Source organism: Homo sapiens, chromosome X, assembly GCF_000001405.40.
Source record: "Homo sapiens chromosome X, GRCh38.p14 Primary Assembly".
Lineage (NCBI taxonomy): Eukaryota > Metazoa > Chordata > Mammalia > Primates > Hominidae > Homo > Homo sapiens.
Window position 1 is genome coordinate 74236659 of NC_000023.11, and position 20583 is coordinate 74257241.

Consider the following 20583-nt stretch of genomic DNA (forward strand, 5'->3'; position numbering starts at 1 on the left):
GTACCAAATATCAATTGGCACAGAATGGAAATATCCCTACTAGGTAACATGAGTTGGCAAATGTAATTAGACATTGCACCAAAACCAACCCAAAACAAAACCCTAAACACAATTCACCTATCACTGTGTATATGAGAAAGCATGAATACTATCTCCAAGAAGTCCTTAAGATCCTGTATTTTCCTCAGCTGAAAAATCTTACTAAAATTTTACTGTCTCAACATTAGAAGACAGCACTGTACCTGTTATTTCCAAAAGACAAGGCCATGCAAATACATATGAAAGATTTCCATTGTTTCCCATTTTGTCCAGAGAAGCCAAAATTGGAATTTCAATTATACACAGATCAAAATATCCCATTTGCTGAGTTTAGCTGCTAATTGGATGTTAAATCCAATTTGAAAAACCAGGGCAGGTGCCGTGGCTGACCCCTGTAATGTAGTCTTAGCACTTGAGGAGCCCAGGTGGTAAGATAGCTTGCGCACAGGAGTTTGAGACCACCCCGGGCAACATAGCAAGAAAACCTTGTCTCCACATAAAATTTAAAAAGTAACCAGTGAAGCTAGAAGATAGAGTAGCACTACTTAAAATGTTTATCCTACTTCAGGACAGCAATAATCTGGGAATGGATGTTGACAATGCAACTGCAAAGCAGCATATATCAACATGTATAACAGGAGCAGATGGACAATTTATTATTTTTTAAGACAGAGTCTCGCTGTGTCGCCCAGGCTGGAGTGCAGTGGCATGATCTCGGCTCACTGCAACCTCTGCCTCCCGGGTTCAAGTGATTCTCCTGCCTCAGCCTCCCAAGTAACTGGGAGTACAGGCACTCGCCACCGCACCCGGGTAATTTTTTTTTTGTATTTAGTGAAGACAGGGTTTCACTATGCTGGCCAGGCTGGTCTTGAACTGCTGACCCTGTGATCCGCCGACCTCAGCATCCCAAAGTGTTGGGATTACAGGTGTGAGCCACCATGCCCAGCTGCAGATGGATGATTTAAAAAGGGTTATGGCATTAGCTCCTCTTCAAGAAGCCAAAGTACTACTAAGGCATTCATAAAAAGCTCCTGAGAGAATTTAGTTATACTACTAATGTTGGGATTCAGTCTGTTAAACCTTAATTTTATGAAACGATGTCCTAGGCAGAATGCTTGAAAATAATTAAGTGGCTACTAATATCATTAGGTCACTTAACCCAGTAGTGGTTAACTGGGAATATATAACCCAGTCTATCAGGTAAATGGTTCAGAACCATAGCAGAAAAACCTCAGTTGACAAAAAAAAAAAAAAAAATTAACAGCTTCATGCCCACTTGCAAGGTGACTGTCCTTACAGCTATCACCTTGCCAATGGGTGGAGAGTCTATTGTAAAGATATGGTTCCCATCCAGCAGGGATACTATGGTAGTGGACAAAATTTTATCAGCATCTTTCCAGAGAGCAAATAATTTGAAGATACGCACTAATACCATCAAGAACTCCACCTTTTTAGGATTCAGGGACTGTTGTGTGTTTATTGCTTGTGATGGTAAACTCTCATCTAAAATTTTCCTGCTTAGTTCAATCTAGGTGATACTTTATTAATGCCACAATTAAGCAATTCTGATTTCTTATTATCAGTTGATATAGGAGATATTTCACAATATGCTGACAGGTTCTAGAAAGCCCCTTTCTATGCATAGAGATTATGACAAGCTATATAGAGACCTAAGTGTTTCTAGATTAAATGCTTTAGTCCAGTGTAGGGAGGAATCAATGAAGGTGAACTAACCTTAACTTCCAACGATGAAAAATCTTCTGTGCTGCAACATGAGGCTCCTTCATATCATTGAAATAGTGAACCAGAGAAATGTATCCACGAATCCCACCCACACTCCAAGGACACAGAAAAAAGTATTTATTCCCTCCCTTGTGGAAAGTGTGCAGTTTGTAGTTCCCTCATGCATAAAATCCAAAGTATTTAGCTTTAAAATGTTATTTTGTGTGCTGGATCTAAATTTTAAGATGTGTAAGCTAGTTATATATTTATATTATTATATAAATTTTATTGTATATATATTCATAAGCTCTGTCAGTATGTTATGCTTAAAGCTTAAAATAAGCCAAATCATTCTTTTCCTGACTGCTTTTAACATGTAGTTGATGTTGGGATTTGAACCAGTAAGTGCAAAGAAAGCTTTCAGGGCCCTAAAAACTAAGTACAATAAGCACCGCATACAGTCAAAGGACAGATACTTCAATATAGAGTACTGAATACAAGGTGCACTGGCCAATCCAGCTGGCAGTGACCAAAGATTACCTTTCTCAATGTTTGTTGGCATCACAGAGCTCTTTTGGCTACATGTACCACAAGCAAAAGGCACTACTACCATCAGGCTCATTCCTCCTCCCAGTGAAAGCACAGGTATTCTTTGTTGTCTTCACTGAAAACCTTTTGCAGACATTCTTGAGGATGATACCCAAAAGCATCCTTCTGGGTCAAAACCATATCACAACATCCTTTACTACAAGCTCTGGTCCTAATGTAAGGTATGGAATTTCTTAAATCATTTATTTTGGAGTCCCATCCAAGATCTCCTAACTCTGAATAGCACATGTAGTTAAAAAATAGTATGCAGTGAGTCCCTGAGATGAACATGAAAAATTCAGCATAGCAGTATCTGTCTCGGCAGTCTTCTGATCCTGTCAAGCAGAAACTAGTGAAAACCACAGCTAACCCAAAGCTAACCCTTTTAGCTCCCAACTTAAGGGAACCCATGGAATTTCACAAATACATGTATTAGGTGACCAAGGGCTGTGCCTGCATGTTGCAGTATTCCCTTGGGAACAAATGTACAGTGCTGGTCCCTATCATCTTGTCAAGGCATTCTCATCACCTTTGAAGAAGACTGGTTTCCTGTATCAGGTGAATATAGTTTCAGGATCAAAGAAACTTCTCAGTAAGTTAACTTTTCTTAACTGTACCCTCAAGTGTAAAACATGGAATATAGGAAGTGCTTAAAGTCTTGCTGAAGCAGATGACTTCTAATGTCTGTAGTTGTGTTTGTTGCTTAAATGTCCTGTACTTACCAAACACTAAGATTATCTGGAACATGTGAAAACCACAAGAAAACTTTAGGAATATACACAGCCCAATCCCCATTTTAGTCCCTCTGCCCCTCTCCCATCAATCAAAAAATTGAACACAATAATAAGTATTCAGAAAACACTCACAGGACGCAGGCTGGCCCATCAACCCCAACACGGCACTAGAAGCCAAGGAAGGGGCAAAGAGAAAGCCTGCATATAATAATGGAGGCATTACAAGTTGCGACTTTTATATAAAGATAGTCCATAAACTTCATTTTCAACATACTGAGCAGGTTGAAAGTGAAATAGTAAAGTTGCAAAGGAGAAACTTTTAAAAGTCACTGCTAATAACCAAAATGGCTGCTTGTCAGGGCTTGGTAATAGAACTGCAGCCATTCCTGACTTTCTGGGCACATGATAGGTTATGAAACCCTGTCCCCTGATTCTTACAGGATATGCACCCTTCCCTCCATGCTGCCCCAAACACCTTCTCTGATGCTCCCCATCACACAGACACCACAGCCCCATATCACAAGAAACCATCCCTTCCACATAGTTCCCGTGTCCTAAACCCAAGTGGTCCCTCACACAGTGTTTGAACTCACCCAGCGCATGGACAATTGCTGACCCTCAAAATACATGAAACCAGCAAAAGGGGGTAAAAGTAGGGCTATGACTTGCCAGCAAGATAGGGGAACAGGCTTGGGGGTGATGTGAAGATGGCTGCTGGCATCACATTTCTTCTTGGACTGATGCCCAATTTCTTCAAAGCACTATGCAGTTTTTCCTTCTTTGAAACAGATTACAGATAGATCCTCCATCCCTTCCCTTCCCTCCTGTCCCAAACCCTCAGGGCCCTACCCTTAACTATCTCCCCTTCCCAAAAACTTTCAAATAAAATTCCCAATAACATCAGCACTTGTATTACAGGAGATGTTTACCAGCTATACACTATCCCACTCCTACTTTTTATTTCCCTTTTGTTATATAATAAATGAGAAGCCAAGACTCTAAAACTTCTTAAACTCCAAAAACAAAAGTAATAGAAGGGTATATGCAGTTTGTTTGAGTTTTCAATCTAGCCTGGGGAAGCCCACACAAGCCACCCTACACCCAACCCCAGATCTCAATGTTCACACCTAAAAATTGATGGGTATAATCAAGGTAATAAAGTAATCATCTATTAAGCTCTAGTATTGTATAGATTATGGACTTGTATTCCACTTCTCAAACCACATGTCCCTTACCTTGAGGCTCTGGAGAGGTACTGCCAAACTCAAAACAACTCTGACAGTAGCAGTGGCCCCAAAGGACTTGGATCAATATTCTGAAGATGAAGAAGGTCTTCCAAATAAGCACCATGAAAAAGTCTAATGCCAAATGAGTTTTTCTTCTATTGTCCTACCCTCAGGACACAAGAGCACTACCAGATTCTGCCTAAAAGCTACCTTTAAGGTTTGATATAAGGGAACATGAGGCATCCAATGCCCAGGTAAAAGTAAGGGAATATAATCCCTGATATTTGGGAATGCACTGGGACCAGGGTCAAACAAAGTGACTTCTTGGGCAGACTAACTTAATTCTATAGACAGTATGAAAATAAGAGGTCATTGGTGATGTGGTAAAAGGCTAAAGGTAAATAGGGGAAACCTACAAAGTGCTCCCTAAATCACTCGTGATCACTCTCTTGGTAAGTCATATACTAAGTATATACTTCTGCTAGGCAACTATTGGGAAATTTATCCATACTTCTCTTCCTGTAATATATGTTAGTATATCCAAAATAATTCAAAGCTTTCTTTGAACTATAAAATGCCATGAATTAAGCCTTCGAATTCAAATTGAACTGGAAGGCATTCTGATCTTGTTAAAATTATTCTCTCCAATTCACACTTATCTGTACAATGTACATTAATAACTAATTTGTTAGATGATTAATACCAATAATTAACTTGCTAGAGGACCCAGGAAACAGAATATCTGCAAGGCCCAGAGTAGATCATAAATAAATAGGAATGCAGACATAAGATGTTCAGTTTTGGAACAGTAAAGCTATAATGAGTTTTCTTTAAAATCAAACAATTGTACAATGCATTATAGTCTATAACTTATTCTGTAGTTCAAATAAATAAAACTTTCCCCTGTTACAGAAAGACAGCCCTCCTCCCAGCAACATTTCAGACTGGATGGATTGATTCCTCACCTGACATAACTCTAAAATCCTCACTGAAGAAGCCAGGAAGTCAAACTGAGGCTGAAGACCTGAAAGTACAGGGGACTAAACCCAGAAAGCAGTATCTGTAGCAAAATAGTTGACCTGATGGCTGGTTGGCTCCCAAGAATCTCTCTGTCCTGGTAGCCAGATAAAGTAATCAAAGGGTAATCCTATACTTGGTAAGCCAGTGGAGTACTTAGGAACAAGTCTCATGTTAAAGGGCTTCTTCCATGGAGTGTGGTTAATGTGCAAAAACATGTCTATAAATAAGGCTGTTAGGACAGACTCACCATAACAGGAAATACCAGAGAGATCAAGGGTATCCAGGAAAGTCCAAAGATGACAATGTAATACAAATAGAGCAATTAAGAGGTTACATTCTTGCATTGTAAGACATGGGGGTTCAAAGAGAAAGTCTAGAATTTACTGGCTAGCCATTCTTGCCAAGTTCTGAACTTTTATTGATTTGATGACCTCTTTGAAATGTAATAAAAACAATAGTAACATTAGTGTTGGTGAGATGAGTATATCAATTAGAACAACCTGTAGGTTTGGCTATCCCTAAAACAAGCCAACCTTAGAAGAAATGTCCTTTAAAAAGAAAAAAAAAAAGGCATTTCTTCCTAAGGTTGGCTCTTTAAAAAAAAAAAAAAAGAGAGAGAGCGAGATTGATTCTTGCTATGTTGCCCAGGCTGAAGTGTAATGGCTATTCACAGGCATGATCTCACTACTGATCATCATGGGAGTTTTGACCCGCTCCATTCCCGACCTGGGCTGGTTCACCCCTCCTCAGGCAACCTGGTGATCCCCCGTGCCCGGGAGGTCACCATATTGATGCCAAATTTAGTGCAGGAATCCAATCGGCATAGCTCACTACAGCTCAGAATTCCTGGGATCAAGCAATCCTCCCTCCTCACCCTCCTGAGTAGCTAGGGCTACAAGTGCATGCCTGCAAGCCCGCAAAAATAGCCTTTTTAGAAGTCATTTCTGAATGGGGTTATTGTTCCTGCCAGGTTTGAAAAACATGTGGACACAAGAGTCACATCCAGGTGTGTACTAGAGAGGCACTGCACTTAATCCTACCTACCTAAGCTATAAACTTTTCGGACTGTGTATCCTTGGCTGATCTTCCTAGGAGCACAGTCACCACTGGATATTGAAAAGGACCTAATTTTTACCTCCAACTGACACATCATTGATAAAGATAATGAGTCTTCACTATGTGCTATCGGGTTCAATGTTACTGAGAGTAGCTGCCCTCAATTACCCCATCAGAAAAAAATAAGGAATATTATTAGAATTTACTTCCTAAGTTAAAAACTGAGCTATGCATACATAGAACAGTGTGTGACACTTACCATTTAATGTATGCTCAGTTAATGTTAACTCTTGGGAGGTTTTTGTTTGCTTGTTTTTTGTTTTTTTTTTGAGACAGACTCTCTTAGTCTGTCACCCAGTCTGGAGTGCAGTGGCGCGATCTTGGCTCACTGCAACCTCCACCTCCTGGGTTCAAGCAATTCTCATGCCTCAGCTTCCAGAGTAGCTGGGATGACATGCATGCACCACTACACCCAGCTAATTCTTTTTTTTTTTTTTTAAGTAGAGACGGGGTTTCACCATGTTGGCCCAGGCTGGTCTCGAACTCTCAACCTCAGGTGATCCGCCTGCCTCAGCCTCCCAAAGTGCTGGAATTACAGGCATGAGCCACCGTGCCTGGCCTCTTAGCTATTGTTATCAAAAGACTGCTATAAAAAAAAGAATGCACTGCTTAGAATGGAAAAACAGGTAAAAGATGATTAAGAGATATTTAAATGAGGCCGGGCATAGTGGCTTATTCCTATAATCCCCCAGCACTTTGGGAGGCTGAGGCAGGCAGATCACTTGAGGTCAGGAGTTGGAGACCAGCCTGGTCAACATGGTGAAACCCCGTCCCTACTAAAAATACAAAAATTAGCCAGGAGTGGTGGTGTCCACCTGTAGTCCCAGCTACTCGGGAAGCTGGGGCAGGAGAATTGCTTGAACCCAGGAGACAGAGGCCGCAGTGAGCCAAGATCACGACACTGCACTCCAGCCTGGGTGACAGAGCGAAACCCTGTCTCAAAAATAAATAAATAAATATTTAAATGAGAAGTAACACAGTTGTTTTTGATGGAAAAGTACTGCAAAAGCAGATTACAAGCGTAGAATAACCTTACAGTCATTAAAAAAATCTAGTGAAAGAGAAACGAACACAGCCATGTCCTAGCATAGGGATGAAACTAGAAAACAAAGAATAGAAATGCAAAACACGCGCGCATGCGCGCACACACACACACACACACACACACACACACACACAAAATCAGGTCACTAACAAGTTTGGTTTGTAATAAGAGAAATTGTCAGAGAAATATGCCCACAAAAATGTATCCGTAAGTATGTTAAATATATTATGTTCAAATTTAATAAAAAACTAAGTCCTAATATTTAAAAGGAAAAAAATTTAATCAAAAAATAAAGGAAATGTTTTAAAACGATCCTGGTCCAAATGAAAGAATTCTATGCATTCACATCTAAAGAGAGGAAAATGTTCTTGTTAAGAGCCACCTAAAAATGTCATCAATATCCGTACACACTAGAAAGAAAGAAATATAGCAATAATCCAAGTTGGTTCTGCATATGCTTTAATTGTGCCATGCCTTTTTTTTTCAAATATTTGAAAATGAATACCTATGGCCTTTTATAATTTTTTTAATACAAAGTATACTGGAGGCAAAGAAAATATTCTTTGTAACCCTAAGTCATAGATACATATTTGAACTTATTATTTCCTTTAAAAAAATTGACTGAAGGCCCTCAGAGAATATGGAGGAAATACCAAGGAATAAAAGAGAAAGCATCACATGTTCAGGTAGTGGACATCAATTTACATAACACACTGACCTACATTAAAAATAATAGCTTAAAAAAAGAATGATTTTTAAATCATAAAACTATTTTAATGTAATTGTTTCACTTTAATCAAGGAGGAAAAGAATGAACAGTGATGCCAAAGATATCACATCTAGAATAGAAAATATTTGTGTTAATTTTTGGAAAACCTGTGGTAATATTGCTATGGCTGCCTCAATCCCAGTACATTGAAGTTGCATCTTACTACTTCAGAGTCAACATCAAGATTTTTATTGCAAAAGTTAAACGATTCTTGATTTTATATGTTACTATGACCAAGCTCATTAGCTTAATAAAATGTATAAGCAATTAACAAAAGCATCACATGAATGTTCCAGAGCAGCATAATCCATTAGATAGCAGAAAAACAAAATGTGGTATACAAGCAAATTGTATATCTAAACAAATACATACTAATAGATGTATATAAACAAAACATGGTACATAAACAAAATGAATGATAAACAAAATGTGGCATATACACACAATGAAATATTATTCAGCTATAAAAAAGAATAAAGTTCTGACATATGCTATAACATGGATGAACCTTGAAGGCATTGTGCTAAGTGAAATACGCCAGAAGCAAAAGGACAAATATTGTATGATTCCACTTATACAAAATATTTGGAATAGGCAAATTCAGAGACTGAAAGTAGATTAGAGGTTACCAAGGGCAAAAAGGAGAAGGAGACAAATGTACTATACTAATTCAAGATATTAACAATAGGGAAAACTGGTCGGGCTCGGTGGCTCAGGCCTGTAATCCCAGCACTTTGGGAGGCCGAGGCGGGCGGATCACGAGGTCAGGAGATCGAGACCATCCTGGCTAACACAGTGAAACCTCGTCTCTAATAAAAATACAAAAAATTAGCCGGGCACGGTGGCGGGCACCTGTAGTCCCAGCTACTCCGGAGGCTGAGGCAGGAGAATGGGGTGCACCCGGGAGGCGGAGCTTGCAGTGAGCCGAAATTGCACCACTGCACTCCAGCCTGGGCAACAGAGCGAGACTCCATCTCAAAAAAAAAAAAAAAAACAATAGGGAAAACTCGGTGTGGAGCATTTGGGAACTCTCTGTACTATGTTTGTAACTTTTCTGTAAATAAAAAACATTCTGAAACAAAACATTTATTAAAAAAAAAAAAAACAGGATGACATCCACCCTCATAAAAATTTACCCTATAAACAGATTAACACATATTTTGAATTTTCTATGTGCTAAAATATACTTACTACAAATTCAGTAAGTCAAACTGAACCAAGATTATAATATCCTTGTAAAATCCCAGGTGTGCAAGGACAATTTTGGAAAACCTGTTTTGTGCTATAGCGGTAAAATAAGGTTAAATAGCCTGGACTCGTGTGTATTTGAAGAAAATTACTTAAGCAAGTGTAAAATGGTTAACATTGCAGTATAAACTAAAATGTTTTGGAAGAGCAATTTGAGAAGAACTTTAATAAATAAGAACTATTCTTATTTTTACCAACTTTTTCAAGGATGCCATCATATAGAAATCATAGAACTACTCACAAAAAGACACAAGGATTAAGTTTTAACCGCACCATTTTTTTGTGAAAGGGACAATCTAAAGTCTTATTAATAAAGAAATGTTAAATTATGTTACATAAATTATGATATCCATGAATTTTCATTTCACACTAACAGTCAAGTATTCTGATGCATAGTCCAGAGACACATGTTAAACACTAAAATTGATGCTATTAAAAACATAAAATTGAATGACTTGTGTATGAAAAGGGGTCCTGTTTAAGCCATGCAAAGACCATGGGGCAAGGCAGACAACTCTCTATGAATATGACAGTCATGACACACCCCATAAAAATTACTTATGACTCAACCAAGAACACAAGCAGTATGAAGCAATGGGCATGCAACAAACTATAGATCATGAAATATTATCAGAACTGTTTCTGATATAGCTCTGCTACTGTTACTATGTTACATGCACTCTTATTAAAAAGCCCCCTACATTAATTCTAGTAAGTAAATTTTCTGTTACAAAAGTCCATATAGGCATTTATACCATGTGACATCTGGCAGAAATATATATAATAGTAGCAAGGAAAAACAAAAAACCTGGGTAGAATTAACACAAAATAGATTAATAAAAACATTCAAGATGGAGACTAGTAAACTGTTGAAGTAGGGAAGTCAAGAGTCATGAAAAGTCATTGACTCAAACATTATTAAAATAGAACCAAAAAATTTAGAGTATACAGAATGGCATCACATAAATGAGTCTAAATATAGATAGGCAGCAAGAGGCACAATAAATAGCAACATTTATAGTACTTCCACAATCAAAATAATTCTATGCTATCACAGGAAAAGACAGTCAATGACACCAACCAGTGAGTCCAGAAGTCAAATAGATGAGAATTTAGTATTTGATGTGTAGAACTTTAAATAAGTGAGCAGGCACAGGGGTACTTGCCTGCAGTCACAGATACTCAGGAGGCTGGGTCGAGAGGATCACTTGAGCCCAGGAGTTCAAATCTAGCCTGGGCAACATGGTAAAACCCTGTCTCTTAAAAAAAAAAAAAAAGAGTGAGCAAAATGTAGATTTTTCAGTAAATAGTATTGGGACAACAGCTAGCCATTTAAAATAAAATGTGAAATCATTATATGGCTATCAACCTCAAAATAAAATCCAAAATGATCAATAACTTAAAAATAACTAAATCATGAAAGTACTTTGAGATACTGATTTCCTCTGACCTACTAAAAGCTATATTCAAAGATTTCCTAAAATTGAACCATTTTTGCATGGTTGGTATGAACACCACTTGCCCAATTGTGTATTGATCATAAATTTGCTCCTGGATTCTTGTTGCCAAATTTTTATTTATGTTATTTCCTTATATATCACTATTAAAAATAGGCTACAGATTTTTCAGTTTTTATCAAGCTATAAATATGCCGACTTCATAATAAGACCATTGTCTTTCATATACAGAGACCATCTCTGGGAAGGTTGAAGGTTGCTTGTATCTTGTAAGGAGGAAGGAAGATTGAGAACTGGGAATCTAAAAGCAGAAAGAAGACTTTTAACTAAAACAACTTTAGTACAAATTGAATTTTGTACTATTTACCATTTGCACATATTACTTTTTTTAAAACAACTTATAATCTCATATCTACAAAAAATTAAAAAATTAGTGGAGAATGGTGTCCTGCGCCTATAGTCCCAGCTACTCAGGAGGCTGTGGTGGGAGGATCACTTGAGGCCAGGAGGTGGAGGTTGCAGCCAGCCAAGATGGTGCCACTTCACTCCAACCTGGGTGACAAAAGGAAACCCTGTCTCAAAAAAATAAAATTAGCCAGGCGTGGTGGCACGGGCTACTCAGGAGGCTGAGGTGGAAGGAGTGGAAGAATTGCTTGAGCCCAGGAGGTCGAGATTACAGTGAGCCATGATCTTGCCACTGCACTCCAGCCTGGGCAACACAGTGAGACTGTCTCAAAAAAAAGAAAAAGGAAAAAAAAGAAATGCCACTGGACTGCAACTTATAAATGATTAAAATGGTAAATTTTATGCTATATATATTTTACCACACACAAAAGGAAAAACAAATCACCTGGATCTTCCAAACATTGTATATAGAAAATTTTTGTTCTCACTCTGGATACACCTGCCCCATTCTCCTAGCACCTAGAGGTAACTGCTTTCATATCTCAGTGCTATATGTTTAAAAAATATAAGTAAACATATGTTTCACCCATTTTCTTCCACAGAAGAAAACTCATTATATGTATTATCTTTATATGCCTTTGTTCACTTAATATAGCCTTCAAATTTTCTATTACTGCATAGACTGCCACCTCATTCATTTCTAAAGCATTCTAGTATTCCATTGTGAGAATCTACCAGTTTATCCAGTCCCTTATTGATGAGCCCCTGGATCGTTTCCAACCTTTTGCTATTATAAAATATTCTTCAATGTTACATATACAACTTGTTTCACTTTTTCAGCTATGTAGGATAATTCTTAGAAGAGGATTCACTAGATCAAATAAAGGCGACTTTAATTTTTTTTTCTCCCTTCCCTCCAGGAAGGCCGCCTCTACTCAGCCAGCAGCAGGAAACAGCCTGCTTTGGAGGTCAAATGGAGGGCTGGGTGGGGCCAGCTCAAACCTTCTATCCCCAGCTCTTTTGAAATTCCAGATCCCTGGCTTTGTCTTAAGCAAAAGTACTGTGGAAGCTGCAGCATTTCCTCCTCCTTTCCAGAAACTGAGCAAGAAAAGCCACCCTGGAAGGTGTACGAATGCTGCCTCATGCCCAACAAGCCACAGGGCCTGGACGCACTAACTGCAGCCCCACAGCCACCACCCACCAGAGCCCAGGGAGATTCCCCAGGGCAACTATTACTTTGATAAATATCTCCAAAGTATCCTTCATAAGTATTATATTATTTTGCATTCCAGCATTCTATAAGTGCCAGTTTTCCCACAGTCCTGCCAACAAAGTTCTCAAATATTAACTTTCTGTAGTTTTTCACATTTCTCCTATAAATGACTTAAGCATGCTTTTATATATTAAAGTGCCATTGGTTTTCCTGGGAACTATCTGTTCATGACCATTGCTCATTTTTAACTAGGGTCTTTTAATTTTCCTTATTTTTTTAGAAGCTTTTTATATATTAATGGAGATTAGCACTTAATGTGTGTTGCAAATATTTTTTCCAGTTTCTTGTTTCTCTTTTGACTTCATTTAGAGCATTTTGACACAAAATATTTTATTTTTAAAAAAATTAATATTAATATTTAAATATTTAAAAATATTTTTTATGTAGCTGCATTTATGAATCTTATTTTATGGCTTCTATGTTTGAAGAAAGAAAGATAAAGATGTGTTTACAACGCAGTGAGCAAAGGATAGTTTCATTAACAAATGGAATATGTAATTAACTAGGATAAAGAGTAAACCCTTTTCACTTAAATATCAGGTTAATTAAGAATTAAAAGACTTTGGAAGTATATGAAAAAATATACACAAATATACTGATTTGGTCTCAGAGTTCAGAATTCCTTTCCGAAAATAAATCTGTTAGGGACAAACTGCCTCAAGAAGCTTCTTGGTGCTGCCTGCCCCTCCCCACTCTGCAACTCCTCTCCATGCTGCCCCAAGCCTTTTTACATTTCTAAGCCCTTATCTAGGCGCCACAGTGAAGCCAGCAGACTTTACCTATCAGGCCTCGCTGCTATAAAGCAAACCCCAATTACAAACCATCCGGACCGCACAGAGGGAGGTCGTGGGAAGCATAAACAAACTTTACCTACAATCTCCGGTACCATAAACGTCACAAGGTGATAATGTGGCAGAATAAACCAGCAAACAACCCCGGGATGCGGCCATACCAAAGAACTCCCTCAAACTCCCTCCCCAATATAAACCCCTCATTCTGTAAGCTGGCTGCTGCTGCCTCCTTTGTCTGTGATAAAGCAGCCGGCGGGTTTAATAAAAGCTTGCCTGAACTTGGGTCTTGCTCTCTTGTCCTTTCTCCCGGCTGATCTTACAAAATCAAAAGTCAAATATTTACTTAAATATGTTAAACTCAATTAAATTTCATGTCATGACACTTATCAATCTTTTATCTTAGGAATTCTTCTTTTGGTATTAGGAATAAGAAAAGGATTGACATGCTTAATATCCTTAATATTTTAAGCACTCTTTTCCATTTTTTTTCTTTTTTCTTTTTCTGGTTCAGGTTTGAGCATTGATAAACACTCTTTAAAGAGAAACATTTTAATGTTTTGGAAGTGCTTTCCATAGTAATAAGCCTGTCCTCCCTTGACTCCTCAGCCGAGCTGACTAGCCTAGCTAGGAAAGAGCCAGTCAGGCTGACAGTTAATAAGAACTCAAGCTCATGCCTGAAATTCACAGTGCTTTAGGAGGCTGAGGTGGGAGGATCACTTGAGGCCCTTAGGTCAAGACCAACCTGGGCAACATAGCCAGACCCCATTCTCTAACAACAACAACAATAACAAAAATTAGCAGGGGGTGGTAGGAGGCTGAGGCAGGAGGATCACTTGAACCCAGGAGTTCAAGGTTGCAGTGAGCTATGATCACACCACCGCAATACAGCCTGTGCAACAGCCTGTACAACCCTGTCTCCAAAAAAAGAACCCAAGTTTTCAATATGCATAGCCACATATAAACTAGAACTTAAGCTGTAAGGAGTCCTGTGGAAGCAGAAACTCTAAGTAGAAGCCCTAGGGTAGAGAAGGGCATAGAAAGTCAAACAAGAGAGCAAAACAACCTGAGGCAAGAGGATGACAAAGCAAAAATGCAGCGCAAACATGAACATGTTGGTGGGCACACACACATAGTTTCTCCAGATGCCTTGATTTCCTAATAGCTTTCTAGTTCCCCTTACTGAGAGGCATAGCTACATACCAGTTCCTTTGGTGGATTTCCAGTAAAATCCCTATCTCCCTTACTGCTCACAATCCCTTGCAGCCTTGCTAATTACAGCCCCCTCATTTGATCTGGCATTTGTGTTCTTCACAACAAAAACTTTACTAAAACCAGAGGCAAAATATAAAAATGTATCTGTCATATAATGAAGAATAAATCTAGTCTTTGTCTCCTGTTCCTGGTACAGAGCTTAGAGAGGCTTGGAATTTCCTGATTAATGGAAGTGTCTTTGTTATTCATAAGAAGCCCCTTTGGACTATATCTGAGTTTATACTTGGGGGTGACTCAAGGTAGGCCCTCACATAGTTTGAAAGGACGAGCTGGCCATGCCAGACAGACCAAGCATATGGTTAGAGGGTTGGAACTTTTAGCCACACCCCCAGATGTTCAGAGATTAAAGAGGAGCTGGAGAAGGAAGTTAATCATGTGGCCAATAAAACTCTGCAAACTCAAAGTTCAAGGAGCTTCCTGGTGGATGAACACTTTGTGTGCCTGGTAGTTTGTGTTAACTCTGGGTAGTTAGTGTCAGAATTGAAATGAATTGCAGGATACCCAGTTGGTGTCAGACAATTGGTGTCAGAACAGTCTCTATCACTCATTATTCACCTACCAACTAACGAAATTATTAACTTTTTTCCACCAAAGTAGTACATTTTCATTAAGGAAAAAAAAAAGGATAACCAACATGAATGTTTTGGTGGCTATACTTCAACATTTTTAACTCTACTAGGAAAATGCATCAAAGAGGTTATAAAACTTACCTCAATTTTCGATATGGAGGAAAATACTATTATCTATATCAAATTATGCCCAGATACCACAGCCAATCTGTGTTTTTAAATCTCGTCAAATGAAAAGGCCTATTATTTTAAACAAATTTCCTATATTCTAATTACACTGATGTGAAACCACACAATAAAAATCTAATATTCCCTTGTACTTCTTTCTTAAAGAATGGTGCCAGGCCGGGCACGGTGGCTCACCCCTGTAATCCCAGCACTTTGGGAGGCCGAGGCAGGTGGATCACAAGGTCAGGAGATCGAGACCATCCTGGCTAACACGGTGAAACCCCATCTCTACTAAAAATACAAAAAAATTAGCTGAGCATTGTGGCACGTGCCTGTAATACCAGGTACTCGGGAGGCTGAGGCAGGAGAATGGCATGAACCCAGGAGGCGGAGCCTGCAGTGAGCCTAGATCGCGCCACTGCACTCCAGCCTGGGCGACAGAGTGAGACTCCGTCTCAAAAAAAAAAAAAAAAAGAATGGCTCCTTCCAAATATTTGAACACCAATTTCCAAGTAAACTGTGGGGAAGGAATGACATCCAAATTTTTAAATTAACACAATTCTTTCAGGTAACTCTATGCATAGTATGAGAGCAAAAGGAAGCAAACAAAAACAGCCAATATATCAAAGATTTTGTTTAAAATCCTGTAAGCTTAGGTTATTGTCTTTAACTTAACCTAAAGGACTCCCAGTATTTTTTAGCATGCCCCAAATACAACAGGAATCATGTATTTAAACTCATTCTTATTAAACTGGCCCACTTCTGCCCTTAAGCAGTTTGCATGTGATCAGTTACAGAAGGGTCCAGTATTTAACCATTTTACACATTCAGCTTATGTGCACAGACTGAGACTAGTATCCTTAGGAAGACCTGCTGCCAAGGTTGGCCTTTTACTAGATTGTTTGTGCAAATAAAAGTGGGTCATGTTGAATACCTGCTTTCCTTCTGGGAATGTGGAATTTTGGTACATGCAAAGCAGAAAGTGCCTACAGGACCAACCTACAATAGAAACTTTGGGTGCCAAGTCTCTAATGGGCTCCTCGAGCAGAAACATGGCACACGTGTTGCCAAATTTTTATTGCTACAAGAATGCGCTCTGTATGACCACTCATGAGAGGGAGAGAGCATAAGGAGACCTGCACGCTGGTTCCTCCAGACTCTACCTTCTCTTTTTCCCTTATGCTAACCTTAGAAAGGCTATATATGCTTATTATGTTGCTGTAACAAGTCTTAGCTGTATGACTTTATGTTGAGTCCCATGATCTATGACCCGCAAGACACTGTCTACTTTTCGGTATTAAGCTGCCAAACCATAGAGGCAACCTTTCTTTTTTTCCAACTTTCAAAATGCATTTTCACAATTACAGTTAAACAGTACATGTATGTATAATATAACAGTTAGATGTTTCTGGTTATAATTCTCCTGTTGCACTTTCATTACTAGGTTAGAACTGTCAATAAATGAGATTATACATACAGAACACAAAACCACAGCTCAGTAATTACTTCTGACTTAGAATAAAATGTTACACTGGTTTTTAGGCAAAACGGTGCATTTATCTAGCAAAGCAAGACATTTTTCTTTTTGGACAGGGTACCTTTCTCCACAAAAAAGGAACAATGGTATTTCCCAAATTTGTTTCCTAATCTCATTCCCAGCAAGACACTTTTCTTCTTTAGTGATGCAGAAGATCCTTTTACATATTAAACTAAAATATATAGTTTATGTCCTACTTTCAGTTAATGTCATTACTATCAAGTTCCAGGCTAATAAAAACAGGAACTTGGGGGACCTCCTCTTTCAGCTTTGGTGCCCCCCTCCCTCTGTCTCTGTAAGGGGGAGCTTCTTCCATCTGTCTTCTCTCTTCCTTCTTGCCTATTAAACTCTCCACTCCTTAAAACCACTCCACATGTGTCCATGTTGTTTTATCTAAACCAGCCTGAGGAACAAGAACCCTGGTGTTCCTCCACTCATCAGAGCCATATCATTTTGGTGCATGGGCGGGAAAAGGAAAATTCAATCATCAGACTGGTGAGTATGGAGCGGATCTCAACTTCAAATCTGTCCTTTAATCTCAAGACTTTCTTCCAGCTACCCTGTCACCAAACTTTCTATTGGTGGTCTCTTACCCTCTCTCTGGGTGTTCAATGTGCAGGAATCTTTACAGTTCAGGGAAAACAGGTCTGTCAGAAAAGATCGTGAATCACGGCAGGCAGTAACTCAATAAATGTTTCTCTCTCTGTTTTCCCTGGCAAGCACATGGTATTTCTAAGCCGCCTAGTAGAAATCAGGCTCTAGGCCTCTTTTGGGAACGGGAAGTTTTTGCTTTTAACAGTTAGGAGTAAGATGTCTTCCCTAGCCGAATTTTAGTCTCGATATTGTCCCCACTGGCAGGAAAACGGCCATTAGGCTCCTACGTTCCTTTAAGGCATTGATTTTGTCTCCTATTAAGACAGTACTGAATTAGTAAGGGGATTTTTGAGTCCGGAAGTTAACCAGAACCATTCTTCCATGAGTAAATGCTTTAGCATGGGCTATAATAGCAGAATACACAGTTCAATCTAGCACTCCCCCTCCCTTAAAGGGGCCTTGCCCAATTACATGGTTTTTCTTGAAATCCGTGTTTTGGAAGGCACACAGGCCACGCAAGTCTAGAAGGTCAAAGGGAAATAAAAGGCAGAGTACTGATTGCTTGGGGACAGCGTGACCAAGGAACTCAGTTCCTCTGGTGCCACAGCTTGGAGGGTCACACCTGCAGTCATGGGTGGCACATTTAAGCAGGTGCCGGGAATCCTGGAGCAACAGAGAGAAAATAGTTGGGGGGATGCCCTCTATTGTTTTCATCTCCACCCTGGATCACATACTGAAAGGAAGGAGACTAAAAGGACGCTTTTATTCTCACTTCTTTTTCTAGATGGGTAACAGATCGTCTTCAATGTGCACTCCCATGGAGTATATGTTGAAGCACTGGGACTCCTTCGACCTTGAAACTTTGAAGAAAAAGTGGCTTATTTTCTTTTGCACAAGGGTATGGTCTTTTTACTAGACCTTTGCAACATTGCAAGATCAAGCCAGCTCTTTTAGCAACCATATCGGGCAGGTCCAGGGAAACTAGTTCCCCAAAATTAAAAAAGTAACTTTCAAGGAAATCATCTGATGGTCCCTCTTATTTTGGGCCCCTTTAATGACCTTAGGCAAGTAAAGGCAAACTGAGGCTGATTTTCTGACGACCCTGATAGGTATATAGAAGCTTTCCAAAATTTAACTCACGTATTTGACCTCATATGGAGGGATGTTATGTTGCTGCTAAGTCAAACCCTCACTGCTGCTAAAACAGGCAGCTCTGCAAGCAGAAGAAAATTTTGGAGATAAGCAATATGTCTCCTATAGTGGGCCAGAAGGGAAAAGAGAAAAATAGGGAAGGCAAAGAAATAGGGGAAACACCATTCCCAATAGGAAGAGAGGTATTACTTCTTAACAACCCTAATTGAAACTCCTTTCTAAGGTGTTTTTCCTTCTTTTGTGGTTTAAAATGGCTTCTGTCTCTTTTATAATGTTGTTCCAACCTAGGAAAAGTTAATTTGCCAAATCTTAAAATGCTTGGCATAGAGTTGAGCTAGGGGAAAGTGGACCCAGAAGCCTGATGTGCCGGCAAAAGGGTAAACATTTCTTAGCAGTTGGGCTTTTGGCTTCTCTCTCCTTGTGCAAACCGGTAAAAGGGATAATAAGGATCACTGTTGATGTTCTCTGTAAATGTATAACTAATGAAAAAGGATTTGTAAGGCTGGCCTTAAGCTGTAGACAATCTTGTGTGCTTTGCATGTCTTTCTGTATGGTTCTGTCAAAGAAAGGGAATCTTAGGTTAGGATGCAGGCCCAGGACCCCATAAGCCTGCTGTTCAAGCCAGTCCAGCAAAGCGGTCAGTGGCAAAGTCGGCTACAGGTCTCCATCTTGTTTCATGTCTTTGGGAATGTCATCTGTAACTGCATGGCAATACTTTGTTTTAGTCTCCGCCATTTTACAATGGTGGCTGTCTTTTTGTGCTAAATCAGATAAGCCAGTTTGTCAATCTGGGTGGTGCCAGCTGATCTATCAAGGGCAGGGTTTACAAAATATCTTAAGTACTGATCTTGAGAGCAGTTTAGGGAGGGTCAAAATCTTGTGGCCTCCAGCTCCTGGGCCATGGTTTCTAATCCTGTGGTTAGTTTCTTGGACTGGTCCCCAGGTAAGAGGGAAATATATCTTGGGAAGCCGCTGTTATCGTCTTTGTTTTAGACTATAGACTGTAAACCAGGCTCCTCCCAAAGTTGGTTTAGCCTACACCCAGAGATGGGCAAGGACAGCTTGAGGGCTGGAAACCTGGAAACAAAATGGAGTTGTTTGGGTGGGATCTCTTTGACTGTCTCAGTGACAGTTTTGCAATGACAGTTTCAAAAGCTGTCTATCACTCCTTTAAAAATACCTTGTACACTCGTAATTAAATCATAACCTAATTAAGGCTCGTTGGTTTCACCTATAAGGGTACTTTCTGTAAAGTTCAAAAGCCGAAAATCTTAACTGCTTGGTGTGGCTAAAGTCAAGTAACAAGGGATTTAAAAGGATTTTCTTAAAGAGTGCTCAGCTTAATTAAAAGTAAATATTCAAGTTATAGGTATATTTAAAGGCCTTTATGCTTTTCTCTTCTTGAATCTTGCTTTTCTGGAAAAGGGCTCTTTTCTTCTCAGTTGACTGAATTATTTTCTCCGTTTTTTGTCTTACCCCTCTTAATGCATGCATAAAAAGCCCTAAAATAACTTCTGGTAGTATGGGACTCCTGGGGAAAAACAGAGGAGGCACCGCAAACCCTGTTTTCAGAAAAAGCCTGTTTTCCTCATGAAACCCCAGGAATTAAAAGGAGATAGATCCCTCTCAAAATCAAAGGCTTTATTCTGTTTTGCACTGTGTTATCTGACGGTTTTGAGTTTTGGGGGTTATCAGAAATTACTTTGCATTATGAGAGAGCTTTGGTGTGTAATAACTAGGTAGAAAATACACAGTAAGGGATGGCTAATAGCAGTTACAAAACAGAGAAGCATGCTCTTGGCCACCTGGAAGATAAGGAAACATCCCCATCCCCCACTGGGAGATGAGACGCCCATCA

General features: G+C 39.3%; 1 long non-coding RNA gene and 1 pseudogene across 1 annotated transcript in view, besides 1 other annotated feature; both read right to left on the reverse strand.

The window, feature by feature from the left end:
* FTX (FTX transcript, XIST regulator) overlaps positions 1-20583 on the reverse strand; it is a 265439-nt gene that overhangs the window by 208523 nt on the left and 36333 nt on the right. The gene's annotated exons all lie outside the window — the stretch shown is intronic.
* RN7SL648P (RNA, 7SL, cytoplasmic 648, pseudogene) lies at positions 5950-6250 on the reverse strand (annotated as a pseudogene).
* Positions 13183-13743: an enhancer, noted in NCBI's record as "OCT4-NANOG-H3K27ac-H3K4me1 hESC enhancer chrX:73469676-73470236 (GRCh37/hg19 assembly coordinates)". NCBI's record gives its function as "activates a minimal SCP1, AML or CMV promoter by ChIP-STARR-seq in primed H9 embryonic stem cells {active_cell/tissue: H9 hESC(primed)}" and the evidence as "EXISTENCE:reporter gene assay evidence [ECO:0000049][PMID:30033119]".